Source organism: Homo sapiens, chromosome 20 (genome assembly GCF_000001405.40).
Source record: "Homo sapiens chromosome 20, GRCh38.p14 Primary Assembly".
Lineage (NCBI taxonomy): Eukaryota > Metazoa > Chordata > Mammalia > Primates > Hominidae > Homo > Homo sapiens.
The window spans coordinates 45,219,252-45,239,137 of record NC_000020.11 but is presented as its reverse complement, the minus strand read 5'-3'; the positions used below and the strand labels follow the sequence as shown (position 1 = coordinate 45,239,137).

At 40.8% G+C, this 19,886-nt stretch overlaps 1 protein-coding gene and 1 long non-coding RNA gene across 7 annotated transcripts in view; both read right to left on the bottom strand.

Moving 5' to 3' along the window:
• The window catches only part of LOC105372630 (uncharacterized), a 59,516-nt gene extending 51,215 nt beyond the window's left edge, over nucleotides 1-8,301 (bottom strand). For 3 of the 6 annotated variants that reach the window (XR_936763.3, XR_936761.3, XR_936768.3), the window contains exons 1-2: nucleotides 8,112-8,301; nucleotides 7,705-7,862 (exon numbers count right to left, since the gene is read on the bottom strand). This is a non-coding gene — a long non-coding RNA (uncharacterized LOC105372630). Of the gene's footprint in view, nucleotides 1-5,810; nucleotides 6,046-6,943; nucleotides 7,122-7,325; nucleotides 7,370-7,704; nucleotides 7,863-8,111 lie in introns of those variants that run through there. The other 3 variants (XR_936766.3, XR_936764.3, XR_936767.3) reach the window with 3 other exon arrangements.
• Nucleotides 8,302-14,679: 6,378 nt separating this feature from the next.
• On the bottom strand, nucleotides 14,680-17,765 carry SEMG2 (semenogelin 2). The gene is made up of 3 exons (NM_003008.3): nucleotides 17,673-17,765; nucleotides 15,713-17,429; nucleotides 14,680-14,847 (listed from the first exon to the last, which is right to left on the bottom strand). Exons 1-2 carry the CDS (start codon nucleotides 17,746-17,748, stop codon nucleotides 15,757-15,759), a joined length of 1,749 nt encoding a protein of 582 aa, NP_002999.1. The 5' UTR covers nucleotides 17,749-17,765; the 3' UTR covers nucleotides 14,680-14,847; nucleotides 15,713-15,756.
• Between the last annotated feature and the right edge of the window lie 2,121 nt (nucleotides 17,766-19,886).

The window sequence follows — 19,886 nt, the reverse complement described above, 5'->3', positions numbered from 1 at the left end:
TCTCTACTAAAAATACAAAAAATTAGCTGGCCATGGTGGCGTGCACCTGTAATCCCAGCTACTCAGGGGGCTGAGGTGGGAAAATCAGGTCAATGCTGCAGTGAGCCAAGATCACACCACTGCACTCCAGCCTGGGTGACAGAGTGAGAAAAAAGAAAAAAGAAAAGAAAAGAAAAAGATGCAGAAGTTCAGCATCAGAGACCTTGCTGCTCAAGACTATGTAAGTGGTGAAAACCAAGGTTCATGCTAATTGTACATTTATGTATAGAACTGTTAACTTTGCTAGGAGATCCAAAATTTTAATTGTTCGCCTGCTAATAACCAGCATATTCTTGAGTGTATTCTCCCAGAGCATTTATGGCTCTGGCTCTTTTGCTTGTTGGCATATCAATTTAGATACCCTTCCTGACTCCATACCATTACCAGTGTGTCAAGAACACTGTTGAATGTATCTCTGGCCACACATAAAAGTGAGAATCTTGTCACCAGACTCTAGCAGGGAATTATAGCTTCCCTGATGCTAAGGCCCCTAAGCCCACCATGGTCTCTCCTCTTCAATTGCTGGGCTGGAAAAATAAGGCAGGTGGCTGAGCACAGGGCATCCGTGCTCTAGGGAACAGTGCAGTGGAGACAGGTTCTCATGCCACTGTGATGATGTCTGTTACCACACACCTACAGGCAAAATTTAGATCTGATAGAGAAGATCCTTCCTTCCTTCCTTCTTCTTTCTTTCTCTCTCACTCTTTCCTTCCTTCCTCCTCTCTTCCTTTCTTCTTTGTTTCCTTCCTTCTTCCTTTCTTCCTTCTTTCTTCCTTTTTTCTTTCTTCTTTCTTTCTTCCTTCCTTTCTCTCCTTTCTTTATTTTATCTTTCCTTCTTTCTTCTTTTTAAATGAACTCCCAGAATGTTGGGCTAGCACGCATGATCAGAATTACTACACCAAATTTTCTATGTGCAGATGAGGAACTTAAGCTTGGAGAGAAAACAGATTTAATTGAAGATGCACAGGTTCTTATGGCAGAGCTGGAACTAAAATCCAGATCTCCTATCCCCAGTCCAAAGGTTTTCTATTCTCCCATTCTGGCTTCTTCTCCTAGAGGTTTATCCTTCCCTGGAAACTTTCTTAGGAGAGGGGAAGAAGACAGTATAGGCAGCAGAGCTTCCATTTTAAGACTTCCCAACCCCCAAAACTCTTTTAGACCATCCTCTGGTATGTCTATTCACAGATTGTTTTACCCAGTCATGCTTACTGAAATGGTAGAGAGTTGCCACATCAATCGCTGGTACAAGATCTTAAGATCTTAATGGATACTGTAGGAGGAGCACAGTCCTTGAACCAAGTGACGGGTTGGGCTGCTGTGGATTTGTGGAATTGATGGCACCAGTAGATTAGGGACTAACAATCTCTCAGAAATACCAGAGAAATGTATTGCAACAGGCCCTAGCAAACCCCCTGATATATCAAGGTACAGAAAGGTCAAAGGTCACCAATCAGATTCAGTCCAAAAAATACCAGACATACATATAATAGTCAAACTATAAAAGATCAAAGACAAAGAAAGGATCCTGAAAGCAGCAAGAGAAAAGAAGCAAATAACATATAAGGGAGTTCCAATATACCTACATACAAACTTCTCAACAGGAACCTTAAAGGCCAGAAGGAGAGTGGCATGAGATATTCAAAGTGATGAAGAAAAAAAAAACTGTTATCCGTGGATACTGTACCCAGAAAAGTTGTCTTTCAGAAATGAAGGAGAAATACTTTCCTAGACAATCAAAAGCTGAAGAACTTCATCACTAACAGGCATATCTTACAACAGTGATCCTAAACCTTTTGGCACCAGGGACTGATTTCGTGGAAGACAATTTTTCCATGGATAGGGGTGGGGAGGGAGGGGGTGGTGGGGCGGGGCAGTGGGGGCCATAGGGAGCATGCAACCTAGATCCCTTGCATGCACAGTTCACAATAAGGTTCCTGCTCCTATGAGAAACTAATGCCACCCCTGATCTGACAGGAGGCAGAGCTCAGGTGGTAACGCTCACTCACTCTCTGCTCACCTCCTGCTATGTGGGCTGAGTGGGGGTGGGGGGCGGATGGGGAACCCTCTCTTACAAGAAAAGCTAAAGAAAAGATGAAAGAAAGAGTACTCATGTGTAACAATAAAAAAATTAAAAGTATAGAACTCATTAGTAGTAGAAGTAATTACATAAATTCAGAATGCTCTAATACTATAATGGTGGTATGCAAATCATATCTTTAGTATGAAGGTTAAGAATAAAAATTATTTTAAAAAAGACTCCAATAATTCAGGATGGGATATGCAGTATAAAGAAATTTAGCTCAGTGATGTCACCAAGACGACTGACTATAGAAGACAGGCACTCATTCTCCCCACAAGAAAGTACCAAAGCAATGAATAAACTGATGAAACTCGATTAGAGAGTCCAAGGAAGAGTATTCGAATATAGCAGGGGAGTGGAGATGCACCTGTGGGGATTGGAAGTCTAGCAGGGCAGCATGGATGCATCCAGCATCTGCCGCCCTGTCTTCCACACCTGGATCCGATCTATCTGGAGTCAGGAGGACATCCTATTGTGGGGAAAAGGTAAGCAAAAGAACCGCACTAGTCTCCACTACCACCACAAACACCTAAAATCCTTACTACGGAGAATCCTGCAGTACTCACACACAAGCCCTGAGCCGTTTGAAACGCTGCTAGGAATTCATGCAGGTGCATTGCTTTGAACTGAAAGCACAAGGGGTGCACTCCTCATAGTCCACCTACCCACTGTCAGCCAAGATGCTGCAGCAGGTGCCATCTTGAGACCAGAGCCACCTGTGGAGTGCGCCCTCCTGTGGAGCCCAGTAGCCACTGCACTTTTCCCTCAACAGGGCTTGGTCTTCATTCCACCAGGCCCACACCAGTGGCTGAATGCCATAATCCCAGCAGCATCAAGTGTGGATACAGGACTGGCTGTGACTCTGGTCCTGTAGAACAAACAACCCCCGCTGCCCTCACTTCCGCCTGGAGGAATGGCATGACAGTCCCGCACAGGGTAAACCTGCCCTTGAACCAGTCAAACTGCTGCACACCCTCCTCTGAGTGAAAGTGGTGCTCAGGCCTCTGAGAAGTTGACACATTCCAAGGCCTGAGAAGCAGGTACACATCCATGTCTAGGGATTAGAAACATTTCCATGGTGCCCCACCCACTCAAACAAGCCCCTGGCCTACCCAATGGCCCTGCACCCACAATCAGGGCCTGAGATACAGACCTGTGGGCTGCCCCTGGCAGACATGCCCTAGGCTGCATGAGCAGCTGTGCAGCCATGCCCTGGGACTGAGAAACAACACCACAGGCTTCCTCACCAGGGGAAGCCTTCAGGTGGGCTGAGCAGCCATTAATTCACATCCTGGGGCTGAGAAACAGAAAGCCCCAGCAGACATGCACTGAGTCCAGCCAAGCAGCCTTGCACCTGTAATCCAGGCTTGAGAAGCAGCCCTGTGGTCAACCCCTGGCAGACATGCCCCCAGGAGGGTCAATCAGCTGTGTGCCCTGCATCCTAGACCTAAGAAGCAGCCCTCTGGGGCCACCTCCAGCAGACAGACCCCCAAGTCCAGCTGGACAGCCTTGTGCTTGCATTCCAGGACAGAGAAGCAGTCTTTCAGGTTGCCCCCAGCCGACATACACCCGGGTCAGCCAAGCAGCTGTGTGACCACATCCTGGGCCTGAGAAACAGCCTCATGGGCTACCCCTGGCAGGAACACTCCCAGGCTGGCCACGCAGCCATGTACCAAACAAAAATTCTAGAGTTGAAGAATTCAATGAATAAAATAAAAAAATACAACTGTGAACTTTAACAACAGAGTAGAAATAATTTCTACACTAGAGGACAGGATACTTGAAATAATATCAGCAGACAAAAAGATAAAAAAGAATAAAAATAAATGAAGAAAGCCTACAGGATTCTGGGGACACCATTTGTTCAAAATTAAGTGAACAAGTATTCACATTACGGGCATTCCAGAAGAAAAGAGAATGGAAAATGTATAAATAACATGTTAAAAATAGCTGAAAACTTCCCAAGTATTGGCAGTGAGATGGACATACAGGTCCAGGAAGCTCAAAACACCCCATTTAGGTTCAACCCAAACAGGTCCTTTCTGAGGCACGCTATTGTCAAATTGTCAAAAGTCACAGACAAAGAAAGAATTCTTAAAACAAGAAGAGAAAAGCATCATGTCACATATAATGAAATCCTCATCAGACTAACAGAGGATTTCTTAGCAAAAACCTTATAGTCCAGAAGAGAATGGAATAATATATTCAAATTACTAAAAGAAAAAAAAAACTAGTGGACAAGAATACCCAGCAAAATTATCTTTCAGAAATGAAAGAGAAATAAAATTCTTCATAGATAAGCAATAGCTAAGGGGATTCATCACCACTAGACTGGCTTTACAAAATATTTTCAAGAGAGTCATGTCTGGAAGTGAGAAGACAACTGCCACCATCATGAAAGTTTAAGAAACTCTAAAACTCACTGGCAGAGCCGATACACAAAGGAGGAAGAGAAAAGAATCAAGAATTGTCACCACAGAAAACAACCCAGCCCAAAACTTACAATAAGATAGGAAGTAAGGAACAAAAGATATATGAAACAATCAGAAAACAATCAATAAAATAAGAGGTTTAAGCCCTCACCTTTCAACAACAGCCCCGAATATAAATGGATTAAATTCACCATTTAAAATATGTAGACTGGCTGAATGGGTAAAACACCTAAACTCAACTGTGTCCTGCCCACGAGAACTCACATCACCTGTAAAGACATATATGGGGTTGAATTGAAGGTATGGAAAAGATATTCCATGCAAACAGAAACCAAAAGCAAGAAGGAGTAGCTATACTAATATCAGACAAAATAGACTTCAAGTCAAAATCTGGAAAAAGGGACAAATAAGAACATTATGTAATAGTAAAGGGACTAATTCAGCAAGAGAACATAATAATTATAAATATATATGCACCCAACACTGGAGCATCTGGATATATAAGGTGAACATTATTAGAGCTGAAGGGAGAGATAGACTCTAACGCAATAATACGTGGGGATTTTAACACCCTACTCTCAGTATTGGAAAGATAATCAAGATGGAAAATTAACCCAGAAGCATCAAGTTTAAACTGTACTATAGATCAAATGAACTTAACAGACATTTGCAAAACATTTTACCCAGCAGCTATGGAATGCACTTTTGTTGTATCTGCACATGAAACATTCTCCAGGATTGACCAAGTGCTAAAATACAAAAGAAGTCTCAAAAAATTTTAAAAAATCAAAATCATATCAAGTATCTTATATGACCACAAGGAAATAAAACTAGACATCAATAACAACAGGAACATTCAAAACTATACAAAATATATGGAAATTAAACGACATGCTCCTGAATGACCAGTGGATGAAAAAAGAAATTAAGAATAAAATTAAAAATTCCTTGAAACAATCAAAAGTAGAAATACAAAAAAACGAAACTTATGGAGCATGGCAAAAATAGTATTAAGAGGCAAGTTAATAGCAATAAGCCCCTACATAAAAAAACTGGAAAGATATCAAATAAGTAACCTAACAATGCATCTCAAAAAACTAGAAAAGCAAGAACAAGCCAAACCCAAATTAGTAGAAGTGTTACATGATCTTTGGGGTGTTCATTTTCTTTCCAGAAACCTCTGTGGCTGGTGGCACCTTTGCCTGAGTTCCTGTTCTGCATCCAGAAAGAATAAGGTACACAGACAAGTGAAGGGTGAAGACGATGAAGAAGAGCTTTATTTAGTGTTAGAAGAGCTCAGAGGAGACCTGTAGTGGGTTGTTACTCTCTGTAGGCAGATCATCCCTTGAGTATTCAGCTCTCAACAGAGAGGGGGCCCTGGAGAGGGTGGCTCCTCTCTGCAGGCAGGGTGTTCGGATGTCTGCTGGTCTTTGAAGCTCTCGCAGAAAGGGTAGCTTCTCTCTTCGAAGCTCTTGCAGAGAGGGTAGCTCCTCTCTGATGTGAAAGATAGAGAGATGATGAGGAAAAAGGACATGTTTTTTTTCTTCCCTAATAGATGTTACTAACAAATGAACATTGTAGTTAGATTCTATTAGAAACCTCATAGAGTAAGATACCCATTTGATTTAAATGACAACATTTATCATATACCTAAATTTTTATCTCTTGAAACTATGCAATGATGATAAAATTATTAGATGTCAGTTTAAAACATGCTTGGGAAAAAGTAGTTTTTCAAAATTGTTAAGATACTTGTCAGAGATAAATAAAATTTTGGAAAATTACTTTCCCAGACCTCTGCAACATTTGTGGGAGTTAAGGAAGAATGAAGCACAGAGTTATAAATTTGGAAAATTCATGGCTAATTACACTTCATTATTAGGTAGACCTAGGGCCCAACCCTCAAGCAAAGACTCAAGGGATGTAGGCTGAACCACAAGGATTTTGTTCTCCTAATTTAGGGTGGCTCAATTTTTAGGAATGAAAGTACCTAGAACTAAAGTACATCTTGCTCAGTTTCTGACCCTAAGTTCCAAATCCAATCGCAGATCATATTACTTCAACACTTGGAAAGGCCACCAGCAGTAGTACCAGAAAAACTGAAGCAAAAATGCCTTGCTCTTCCATTACAGGATTAATCGGCATGCCATTCATAGGATGCAAACCCAGAGAATTTAACTCCAAAATGCACCTGGAATCTGACCAACAGAGAATCTGAGTGTCAGGAGATATTGAAAGAGACAAATATATCAGAAAAACACAAGTGCAGGAATTGATGAAACTAAATGTGAAACAGTAACTCTGTCCATTTTACAGTTCCTAAGGGATTATGCAACATGGCTGAGTAGAGAGGGAGAGCAAGAGATCAATCCAGCAGACTTAGATTTTCAAAGAGTTTTAAATATACAACGCTTTATTTCTTCGTCTTGTTATCATAGTAAGAAGCATTTAACTCTTGCTAAAAGGAAGTTCTGGGCCTGAGCGATCATGGACAACATGGAGACCAGTTATCCCAGACTGAGCCTGTAGCACTTGTGTCTCCTCAGTCCTGGTTAAGAAGGGCTTTCCATCTTGGGAGAGAACAGGAAACCAGAGATATAGGAAGATGCAAAATGTACAGGGCACATGGTTTTGTGTCCCGGGGGCATTGAGGCGTGATTCCTGTTAGGTATTCTCCTCACAAGAACACTGGCAGGTGCTGCCAAAGAGTCAGGGACTGGGGATCAGGGACTCTAGGCAAGCCATCCTAAGGAATTGTGAAATTATAAACTTACCTCACGATGTAAATGTAAAGAGGAAAATGTTTCATGATTGTAAACTGTAAGTAAAAGGATTTGAAAATAAATAATAAAATCCAGTAACTATTGAGTACCTTAGAGATAATCTTGTTGAAATGTCGACATTATAGAGAGTTATAGAGAGGAGAAGAGTGATGCCCATTATGTGAAGTGGAAGGTGCATATCTGAGCAAAGAGGTCTGTTGAGCCTCCTCCTTCACTTTAGAGAGGCAAATGCGTGGACTGACCCAATTTAAAAGCCCTGCTCACAACGGTTGCTAAACGCATGGGAAGTTCTCAGTTCTCTCTAAGACAAATGCTTCTGAGGGAAGGAGTTAGGGGCAGCAAGGAGAACAGCAGATCTGGGGCTCCTCACCTCAATCCAAAGTCCACCAGGGCTCCATACACTGATGCCGACAGTTGTAGTAGCAACACTTCTTGACCCCCTGCAACTCTTATCACGCCAGCGCATAGGTAAGAGAGTGAAAGGGCAGTCAAGATCAAACTCTGGGCAATATCCCGGTTTCCGTGCAGCTGGAAAAAACGCCATAGGTCAGGAGGCTGAGGCAGGAGAATCGCTTAAATCCAGGAGGCGGAGGATGCAGTGAGCCGAGATCTCGTCACTGCACTCCAGCCTGGGTGACAGAACGAGACTCCAAAAAAAAAAAAAAAAGCCGTAGGATGAGTGGGCACCAATGTGTGATTTCCAGGCCAGGTCACCCCATGGACTCCTCAGAGGAAACGTTCCCAACCCCAGCCACACCCAGGGTCGCCAGGCCCTACCTGCACTCCTCAAGACTCCAGGCTGGGTCATTCAGAGGCAAAGGAGGATGTTCACAGAGAGTAGAAAGAAGCCGCTCAGCTTCATAATGCAAGAAAACGGTGTGGGGGCACCTGGAGGCTGGACCTGTCTATGTCAGCTTTGGCGGGGCCCCATCAACAGATGGCGTTTTGACTCCCGGGGCTGGAGGTCAGAGGTGCCTCCGCTTAACCCGGAAGCACCATCTGTTTCCTTTCACCTCCAGGAAGAGACAACGTGAAACAACTGGGATGTAACTTCTGAGAGCCCTCATGGACTGCCTCCTTTCAGGGTGTTACAGAACTCTTCATCATTTTTACTTCATCCAGCAGATTTTGAGGCAATAGGACGCCATTGTCTGGATCCTCTTATGTATTCTCCAAAGAACACTGGCATGTGCTATCCAGGAATCAAGGACGGGGATCAGGGATTCTAGGCAAGCCATCCTAAGGAAGTGTGAAATTATATAAACACTCACAATGTAAATATGAAGAGGAAAGTGTTTCATTATTATAAGCTGTAGAAAATAGGAATAAAAAATAATAAAAACCCGGTAACTGTTGAGGATCTTAATGAATCTTGCTGAAATATCCTCTTTACAGAGAGGAGAAGGGTGAAGTCCGTTGTGTGAAATGGAAGGTGCATAATCTAAGCAAGGAGGTCTTGCTTCATTGTCCAGAGGCAGATCTATGGGTCGACCCAATTTAAAACCTCTGATCACAACGATTTTCTAGGGGAACATGAAGTTCTCAACTCCTTCTAAGACAATGCTTCTGCAGGAAGGTTTCACGGGCAGCAGATCTGGGGCTCCTAACCTCAATCCAAAGTCCAGCAGGACTCCATACACTAATGCCGACGTTCGTAGTAGCAACACCATTTAACCCCTTTGCAAATTTTATCCTGCCAGCACATGGGTAACAGGATGAAAGGGCAGGCAACAGAAAACTCTGGGCAACATTCAGGTTTCTGTGCAGCTGGAGAAAAATGCCACAGGGTGAGTCGGGGACACCAAGTGACTTCCAGGCATGAGGGCCAGGTCGTCGCATGGACTCCTCAGAGGAAATGCTCCCCAACTCCAGCCACAGTACGCGTCGCCACGCCCTACCCGCCACTTTTCAGGGCTCCAGGCTGGGCCATGTGGAGGAGGCAAAGGGGGACGGTCACAGTGAGTTGAGAGAGGCTGCTTAGCTTCATAATGCAAGAAAAGGGATTGGGCGCACCTGGAGGCTGGACCTGTCTATGTCAGCTCTAGCGGGGCCCCACCAGCAGGTGGTGCTGTGGCTCCGGGGGCTGGAGATCAGAGGTGCCTCAACTTGACCCGGAAGCACCAGCTGTTTTCTTTCACTTCCAGGAAGCAACCACGTGAAACAACTTCTGGGGTGTAATTTTTCAGAGCCCCCATGGATTTTCCTTTTTTCGGGGTGTTGCAGAACTGTCCTGGCTCTTCCTAATTCTTACTTTATACTGTCGAATTTTTAGGTAATAGGAGGGCATTGTTTTTCCCAGGGACTGCATCAGGACTGACCAATTTCCCTCTTCCCACTGTGTATCCAGAACATTTGAAACCGACTCCTCACAGCCATGTTCAGATAAGGGTGCATTTGAAGTGTTTACTTTTACTACATTAACATTGAAACACACACAGACAGAAAGTAAGAGCCAGATATTGATCTATTAGCAAGATAATTTCTAGATTTATGAAAAATCTAGTTCCTTGTGCACCACAGGCTTTAAGTTTAATTCGTGAAAAATTTTTCTCATTTAATTCATGTCTTAATGTCTTCATGACTGTGTCAAAACTTCACTAGTTGATAAAGTCAAAAGGCCAACTTATGGCTTACAGGACTTAAGATCATTGGTGTCCATTCATTATCTGACTAGTAAGCAAACGAAACAGGGAATTTAGTGGCTGTACACGATGCATAACACAGACTTTACAAAATTAGTCCAGGAATGTTACTAAGCAAGTATTCAGCAATAAAAACCACACAAACAAATGCTAAAGATAGATTCTGATTTCCAAAGCTGCCAAATTATATTACGTAGAAAGTACAATTTTATTTAAAAATTATGAGATGTTTAAAGAAACATGAAATACTGCCCATACACAGAAAAGAGGGGAAACAATAAATAGAAATGATCCTTTAGGAATCCCAGACAATGGCCTAGTGGACAAAGATATCAGTTATTATACTCAAAGAACTAAAGGAAATCATGGGCAAAAAGATTAACAGAAAGTATAAAAATCAGTTTCACATCATAAAAAAAATTCATGATGAATGATGAGGTTGTAAAGTAAAATCGCTGATACAGAAAGTCACAAGAGGGTCTTACCAGCAGATAGGAATAGACAGAAGAGAGGAACAACTACTATAATTATAGGTCAATTGAGATTATACACTCTGAGGAACGATAAAGAAAGAGACCTGTGTAATACAATCTAATGGAAAAACATGTGCATAATGGAAATCCCAGAAGAAAGGAGAGAGAAAGAAAGAGGCAGACAGATATTTGAAGATGTAATGGCTAAAAACATTTGATTTTGCTTTAAAACACAAATCTCCATGTATAAAAATCTCAATGAACACTAAGAAAAAACTGTAAGAGATCCACACCTAGACAATTTATAATGGAAATATCAATGACAAAGACAAAAATAAATTCTTTTTTCTTTGAAACAGTCTCATCCTGTCGCTCAGGCTGGAGTGCAATGGCACAATCTTGGCTCACTGCAACCTCCGCCTCCTGGGTTCAAGCGATTCTCCTGTCCCAGCTTCTCGAGTAGCTGGGATTACAGGTGCACACCACCACGCCCAGCTAATTTTTTGTATCTTTAATAGAGACGGGGTTTCACCATGTTGGCCAGGCTGGTCTCTAACTCCTGACCTCATGATCTGCCCACCTCAGCCTCCCAAAGTGCTGGGATTATAGGCATGAGCCACCGCGCTTGGCCGAGAAATTCTTGAAAGCAGCAAGAGATAAATAACTCAAAATGACTAATAAATAAGCTTAACAGCTGATTTATCATTAGAACCATGCAAGCCAGAAGATAGTGAGAGAACATATTAAAAGTGGTGAAAGAAATATCGGTCTACCAAGAATTCTATATCTTGGCAAATCTATCCTTCACAAGTTAGGGAAAAATTAAGGTACTCCCAGATATATGAATACTTCATGTTTTTCACCATTAGATTTCCCATACATGAAATACTGACATGATGACATATGTAGAAAACTTTTAAGAATCCACATAACTCCAAAATATTATTAGAGCTAATAAACAACTCATCAAGGTGCAGGACAAAATATCAACCTATACCTTTCAATTGCATCATGAAAAAAATCCATTTACAATAGCATCGAAAAGAATGAAATACACAGGAATTTATTTAAGAAAATAATGGCAAGACATGTACATTTGTTGAAAACAACAAATCATGATGAAAGAAATTAAAGAAGACATAAAAATAGAGAGCCATTCCATGTTTGTGGATTGAAGACTCAATATTCTTAGGCAGGCAATTTTCCATATTTTATCTAAAAACTAAATGGAATTCCTATAAAGTTACAGATGACTTTTTGTAGAAATTGACATGTTAATCCTAAAGTTCATGTGTAAATGCATAGAACCCAGAATAGCAACCACAATCTTGAAAAAGAGTGCAAATGTAGAAGACTCATACTTCCATATTTCAACACTTACGGCAAAGCTACAGTGTCAAGACAGTGTGGTACTAGCATAAGCATAGACACATATATCAAAGGAATAGAATTGGGAGTCCAAAAATCAACCATTACATTGTCAATTCACTTATCTTCAACAAGGGTAGAAAAACTATTCAGTAGAAAAAGTCATCTTTTCAGCAAATCATACTGGGAAAACTGGATATCCACATGCAAAATAATATAGTTAGAACCTTATAGCACACCAGAATCAAAAATTCCACTTCCATAATTATACCCAAGAGAACTGAAAATGTATTCACGCAAATATTTGCACATGAATGCCCATAGCAGCATTATTAATAACTAATAAAAACGAGCATCTGCGAAAAAGGAATCTGGATCTGCACCTTGAGTGGAATGCGAATGTTAATCAAGTTGGACCATAAACCTTAGTATAGATGCTAAACCTATGCAGCTTCTAGGGAAGGACATCACAGACAGAACATTTCTGCAGCCTTGGAGAAGGCAAAAGTTCTTAGATACAATAATATTCATATTAAAAGGAAAATGAATATGTTTGATTTCATCACACTTTAAAACTTTAGCTCTTCCAAATACATCATCATTAAGAAACAAAACAAAACAAAACAAGCCACACCCTGGGAGAAAATTCTACTTCTAGGTATTTACCACAGATATTTAAAAATATATATTACTGTGCCTTGTACAAGAACTTATGTGATATCCTAATTCACAGTGACCCAAACTGGGAACACCAAATGTTTATCAGCAGATAAATAGAAGAACAAATGTGGAGACTCAAACAATGGAATACTATTCAGCAATAAAATGAATGAACTGCTGATACATACAAAACAGAATGAATCTCAAAAACACTGAATAACAGCGATACACAAAAGGTAATGTTATTCCATAAATTCATTATGTAAGGATTAAAAACAGGTGAGTTATGAGTTTCTAGAAGTCAATATATTATTTGCCCCTGAAGAACTGGGACTGAATTTGAAAGGAGCATAAGGCAAGATGAATGTTCCATACGTTCATCTAGGCGTTGTGCAATCATATGTATGTGTTTGTCAAATCTCATTCAAGCAAATACATAAGATCTGTGCTTTTCTTTATATGTATTTTACCTCCTTTTCAAAGAAGGCATAATAAAAAATTATTTTATTATTATTACTTCCAAATTTGTTGTCCTGGCACTTTTTTTTTTTTGAGCACTGGGGTTGAGATCATCTCACTCAATATCTTTAAGCACGTCTATGAGATGGTTATTATTATCCCCACGTTAAGGTGAAGGAACTCTGCATCAGAGACCCCACTTTCCAAGACTATGCAAGCGGTGGGATCCACATTTCAAGCTAATTGTACCACAGCCACAGCATTTATGACTCTGGCTGTCTTGGTTATTTGCATGTTAATTTAGGTTTCCTTCCCTGCACAATCAGCAACATGTCAGGGAAACTGTTGAATGTATGTCTCTCCACATGTAGAGAAGAGAGTCTGTTCAGCAGACTGTAGCAGGTAATTCTAGCTTCCCTGATGCTAAGGCCCCTAAGCCCATCACAGCCTCTCCTCTTTAACTGCTGGGCTGGTAAAATAAGGCAGGTGGCTGATCACAGGGCCTCTGTGTTCTTGGGAAGGATGCAGTGAAGAGAGACAGGATTCTCATAACACTATGACCAAGTCTTTTATCACACACCTACAAGCAATATCAGACCTCATAGAGAAGATTCTTTCTCTCTTTCTTTCTTTCTTTGTTTTTCTTTTTCTTTCTTTCTTTCTTTCTTTCTTTCTTTCTTTTCTTTCTTCTTTCTCTCTCTCTTTTCTTTCTTTCCCTTCCTTTATTTTCCTTCCTTCCTTTCTTTTTCCTTCATTCCTTTTTCCTCCCTTCCATCTCTTTCTTTCTCTTTTCTTTTCTTTCTTTCTCTTTCTTTCTTTCTTTCTTTCTTTCTCTTTCTTTGCTTTCTTTCTCTCTTTTTGTCTTCTCTCTTTTTCTCTTCTCCCTCTCCCTCCCTCCCTCTCTCTTTCTTTCTTTTTAAGGAAGCTCTACAATATTTAGTCAGCATGTACTATGAAGTTAACTGTGTCAAAGTTTTTCATGGGCAGATGTGGGACTTAAGCTTGCAGGAAAGAAAAGATTTAATTAAAGATATACTAGTTCTTAAAACAGAGCTAGAATGGAATCCAGATCTCTTATTCCTAGACTAGTGATTTTTCTTATTCCTCTATGTTGGCTTCTTCTCCTGGATGTTTGGCTTTCCCTGGAATCATCCTTAGAATAAAGGGTGAAAGGGCATAAAAGGAGTAGAATTTCTATTATTAACACACCACCTGCCCCAAGACTCTGGCCTGGTCGTCTGGTCTTTCCATCACAGATAACATTTTTAAATCCACTCACTCTTGCTGAAGTGGTGGAGACTTGACATATCACTCTTTGGTGTGATTGCATCTAAATGTATGCTGTAGGAGTAGGACAGTTCTTAAGCTAAGTGAAGAGATATGCTGCTGTGGACTTGGGGAATACTCATGGCACTAGTAGATCAGGGACTTTCCTAGGGCTTGTTGCAATACATTTTCTCTGTTCTTTCTGGGGGACTGTTAGATCCTGGGGTCCTGTTAGTACAGAGGTCACGAGAGACTTTAGGGTTGGCATCAGGAAGTAGATGTGTGCCTGGCAGAGTAATAGCATCTTGTTTTTAGTGTTGGATTTCTATCAATACATCTAGAAATGTGGCTTTGATTGCTATTCTCCCTAATGCTTAAAAAATATCCCATTCTTTTCTTCCAAAACCATTTTTATCAGAAATGACCTCAGCCCCTTGAGCCACTAGGAATTCAGAGATCACTGGAGCCAAAAGCAGATAAAGCAGAAAATGATCCCTTTATTGGAAGTTTGAAGGGGCTCCGGGTTTAGAAAGCCTAATGCAAGGAAGCATGGGAAGGTGGTGTCATCCATGGACCAAGGATCTGGGACCACATGGGAGTCTGCCTCTCAGAAACATCAAAGACTTCACTGAGGTCGGGTGACACCTAGGGAGAAAAAAGACAACCAGATATGTGAGGATAGTGGAGAGTGGGGGTGAGGATGGGAGAGCTGGGACCCCTGTCCCCTTTAGCGTCAACTGCACCAGCCCCCTGATCATTAGGACACCAGGTCACTAGTTATCAGCTGGGACCATTGTTTCTGCTGCTTACCCTCTCTTCAGGTACAGTGTTACTTATTGCAAAGGGGCATGGAAGAACCATTTCCCCAATCCAGGTTAAAATTTTCCTCTCCTGACATTGCAAGTGTCCAGTTAGCACCTGAGATCTCTCAGCATCTCCTGCACCTCCATTTCCACTTCCTTTTTCACAATCTGAACAGGAATCCTTCTTTCTACTCATATCTTTCCTATATTCAGAGAGAGTGGACTGCTAGTCTTTGGGCTTGTGGTCTCTGAAGGAGCATAGATGAACTCTAACAGGGATGCAAGAACATTCATGTATGTGCAGAAAGAAAATATTAACTGCTGTAATATTTCATACTATATGAGAAAGAATTTGAGGTTTACTAATCTAAAGTATAAGAATTGACAAGAGTATACCATAAACTCATAAATATGCATATATAGTCAGTGCATGTTCAAAAAAATCTTTAGCAGGTAGGCATGTATAAAAATATTATTGAAGAATACTCAATTAAGAATAGGAATTCTAGGACCCAGTGATAGTCCAAGCAGCCTTCCCTGCCACTACCAGGTCCTCTACTCGCCAGGAAATGGTGTTCATCTTCCCACCACTTGTAATATAGCACTTCTATTGATGTGAACAATGGTTATCAGTCCTACCATGTTCCTGGAGAGTCCCCAACTTTGGGACAGGCACCTCTCCTATTTGGTAAGAAAAGCAAACTTACCTTGCTATTGGTCCAGCTTTTCAAGTGGTTGCTAAGCAACAGGGCTATGTAGATATTGGATTTCTGTCTTCATTATATTGTTGTGTCAAATGATCATCTTGGGCAACCTCATGCTCAGTAATTACAATATTATGTGACTCACTGGATTCCTGTTTGTATCTGCCTTTTTGTTCATGACTGAGTAGGTCTTGTTTGCTATCTGCAGATTGACCAGACTTTCCTTTTGCATTTTGGCCAGACCATTGATCTTGATTAGGATTTGGTGTCTGGATTTGAGACTTGCCTTCTACTAGCTTTTCAATTTGGAAAGAAATACTGCTTTGGGATACATCTTTCTGCGTGCTCTTTCCTCCATAGTTGAGTCGTCTTTCTTCTGTACTTGAAGATTGGTATGACATTTTATTTTCCTTATGGCCATGCTCTTGATCTTGACTAGGAATTGTTACCTGGTTTTGAGACTTGCCATGTATTTTCTCTTCAGTTTGGATAGAAATACTGCCTTTGGATACACCTTTCTGTACATCCTTTTCTCCACTGTTGAGACGTCTTTCTTCTGTACTCGAAGATTGGTATGATATTTTATTTTCCTTATGGCCATACTCTTGAGCTTGACTAGGAATTCTTACCTGGTTTTGAGACTTGCCATGTATTTGCTCTTCAGTTTGGATCGAAATACTGCCTTTGGATACACCTTTCTGGATGCCCTTTTCTCCACAGTTGAGATGTCTTTCTTCTGTACTTGAAGATTGGTATGATATTTTATTTTCCTTATGGCCATGCTCTTGATCTTGACTATGAATTGTTACCTGGTTTTGAGACTTGCCATGTATTTTCTCTTCAGTTTGGATAGAAATGCTGCCTTTGGATACATCTTTCTGTACACTCTTTTCTCCATGGTGAAGTTGTCTTTCTTCTGTACGTGAAGACGGGTATGATATTTTATGTGCCTTCCGGCCATGCTCTTGATCTTGACTGAGATTTTTTGTCTGGTGTTGATTCTTGTTATATACTAGGAGCTCATCTTGGGTAGTAAAAATGTCTTTGGGTCCATGTTGGAGTCTGTCTTGATGTGCAGGATGGAGTGAAGTTTGTAGTTTACTTGAATGTTCCTCTCTCACGTCAACCACATTTTGGTAATGCCCTTTATTTTGATGAGAATTTTTAGTCTCACGTTGTTGTTTGTTAACTACTAGTTCTTCAGTTTGGAGAACATAACTGCTTTGGGATCCACCTTGTGTTCTACCTTTTTGTGCACCAGAGGCTGAAGCTTGTTCTTTACTTAGTCCATGAACCCATAGCCTTTTTTCTGTGTTTGAACATTGACTGGATAATCCCTTTCCAGATGGGCTATTCCCCTGATCTTGAGAAGGATTTTGTGTCCCATGATGAGCTTGGCCTCCTTTATGATGTATAACTATCATGTGAAAATGACCTTTTGATTTATCATGGTCTCTGCCTTCTTGTTTATAATTGAGCAGTTGTTGACTTCCACCTAGGTGTTGTTTTGATTTTGTCGCCTTATGTAGGGCATTCAAATCATATTGCTGACTTTTTCGGGTCCAGTCATGATCATTGATGTCTACATGATATGTGTGTTGAATAGAAAAACTGCCTTTGGATTTAGTATGTTGTTGGTCTTTTTGTCCAAAATAGTGCTGGCCCTTTTGTCCATGTGGAAATTGGGAAGATCCGCTTGGCAATTGGCCTTTTGATCCACCTGGTAATTGATAATAGAAATGTATGCATTCATTATCTCCAAAGCTCTCTTGCAACTCTTACCTCCCACCTTTTCCCAACAAATTTCTGATATTTCCAAAAGCCTACAGCGTTGGGTGGAGAAAAATCAATTCTCATCAAGGAGAAGAATCTGTGCCTGAACAGGTTACTGTTTGCACCCTGAATATCCTTAGAGGCCATTTTTTTAAAGTAGCTTTCCCCAAGGCTTACCCTCTCCACTCACCTTTTTGTCCCATCACAGCTGCTTGCTTCTCCAAGATAAGGAGCAGGGAAAGGACAAAGAGGATGATGGACTTCATCTTGCTTGAAAAATCTTGTCTGAGAACTGAGCGGATCTCTTCATTTATATGTTCCTTGAGTGGGTGTGCTATGGGTGGAGCTGAAATGTCAAAAGGCACTGCCCTTTCATAGCTTATTAGTAAATGCCAGCTTCCTCACCCCTGCTCAGTGGGGGATAATGTCAAAGTCCCCAGGGACTTAGCATGGGGACATAATATCAAAGGCAATTTTTTTTACTTTCAGAATCCCCAGCAAAATTTTATCGGTCTTTGTATATCATCATGCCAGATCGCTTGCATTATACAGAAGAAATTCAGTCCGGAGTAGGAAGGAGACTAGCTTCAGGTTACAAAAGTAATTGGTGGCTGACAATGCCTTCATACTCTAAATGCGAGTTTCCTTTCTGATCCAATAACTTAAATACTAAATTTTAGGTATAACTCTATACTTTGTCTTGTTTTAAAGTAATCCTGAGACACATTCTGTTTTACTCGAGAAGGAGCAGTCATAGAAGTAGAATGATACAGAAGAGAAAGAAACTTCATGGAAGCCAAAGAAAAAAATTTCAACAAATAAATGAGGCATACCAATGTCAAATGTATCTGTGAAGTTCATCACAAAAAAGACTAACATGTGTCAAAAACTTTCTGATGTTACTCACTGCTAGTAATGTTAACGAGAGATGAATACAGTTGTGTTGGGTTGTCAGTTGAAGGATGGAGTCCAGCTGAAACCATCTCAAGAAGTCTGATTTCATGGTGGAATGAGAGGTGAGGCTGTATCTGGAGGGTGAGGTAAGCTCCAGAGATTTTTTGAAAGGATGAGAAAAATTTAACATGTTTTTATGATGATAGGAACAACTGTTGGAAAAAGAAGTAAGAATGTTGGTTTCCAAATTGGATTATTTGATGATATTTACCTAAACAAAAATGTATTTACCAAAATACATTTTTTAAATAAAAGCATTTCATACTTCTGTAATAAACTGCTGAACCCTCCAACAGGCTGTGAGGAATATTTGCCAACTTCAGTTCATTAAATAATGTATTGAGAGTGGACCTAAAGCTAAAATTTTTACCTTGGGTGGAAGCATAGGGTTTTTTTGCTTTTGTTTTGTTTTGTTGTGTTGTGTTGTTTTGTTTTGTTTTTTTGCAATTGTGAAAACTTCTTGAAAAATCCAAGGAAGGTTTTTTGTTTGTTTGTTTGTTTGTTTTGTTTTTTTTGTTTGTTTGTTTTTGAGACAGAGTCTCGCTCTGTCGCCCAGGCTGGAGTGCAGTGGCACCATCTCGGCTCACTGCAAGCTGTGCCTCCCAGGTTCATGCCATTCTCCTGCCTCAGCTTCCCAAGTAGCTGGGACTACAGGTGCCTGCCACCACGCCCGGCTAATTTTTTGTATTTTTAGTAGAGACGGGGTTTCACCGTGTTAGCCAGGATGGTCTCAATCTCCTGACCTCGTGATCCGCCCGCCTCAGCCTCCCAAACTGCTGGGATTACAGGCATGAGCCACTGCACCCGGCCAGTTTCTTTACTTTGACTGAAAAAGTCCTTGTTATGAGAAGACAACAGGAGAAGCAGCAACATTTGAACAGTGACCCTGTATGCATTCAGAACACTGTGGAGGGTAGTTCTGGAGAAAGGACGGCTTGGAAACTTATTTTCTATTATTCTCTCTTAAAATCCTAACCTTCCTGTAAGCAATGCTATATGGAAGGGGAGAGGGGAAAGGCCAACCATAGGAAAAAATGCTACTTATGCCATCAAACTTGAAGCATGTGAGCTATGTGGTTTCTCTATGAGCCATTCTGAGATCTTACCAGTTTTATCTGTTTGCCCTAAGGGCAGTAAGTATTTCCTTATGGCAGGGACCCCAAAAGAAAAGAGTAAAGTTTTCCTGAACACAAATTTATTGCTGTACCTGCTAATCACTATAATCTTCCTTACACTTCCCTTAAGGAAATACCAGGAACTGTTGTGTTCCAAGATTACCGGAACAAACAAGAGTCTGAAATATTAATCTTACTTATGGATCAAGAACAAAACTTCCAACTAATCTAGTGTCCAAAAGATACAGATAAAACAAAGGTGCACAAGATTTGCAAAAACAAAGCAGGAAAATGCAAACTAGGCACAACATGTGATTATGATACTCATATCATGA

Bases quoted from the DNA above. Each gene is read 5' to 3' on its own strand.
- SEMG2 (NM_003008.3), bottom strand. From the start codon at position 17,748: ATGAAGTCCATCATCCTCTTTGTCCTTTCCCTGCTCCTTATCTTGGAG. The intron at 17,430-17,672 runs GTGAGTGGAGAG...ATCAATTACCAG, and splicing joins AGCTGTGATGGGACAAAAAG to GTGGATCAAAAGGCCAATTG.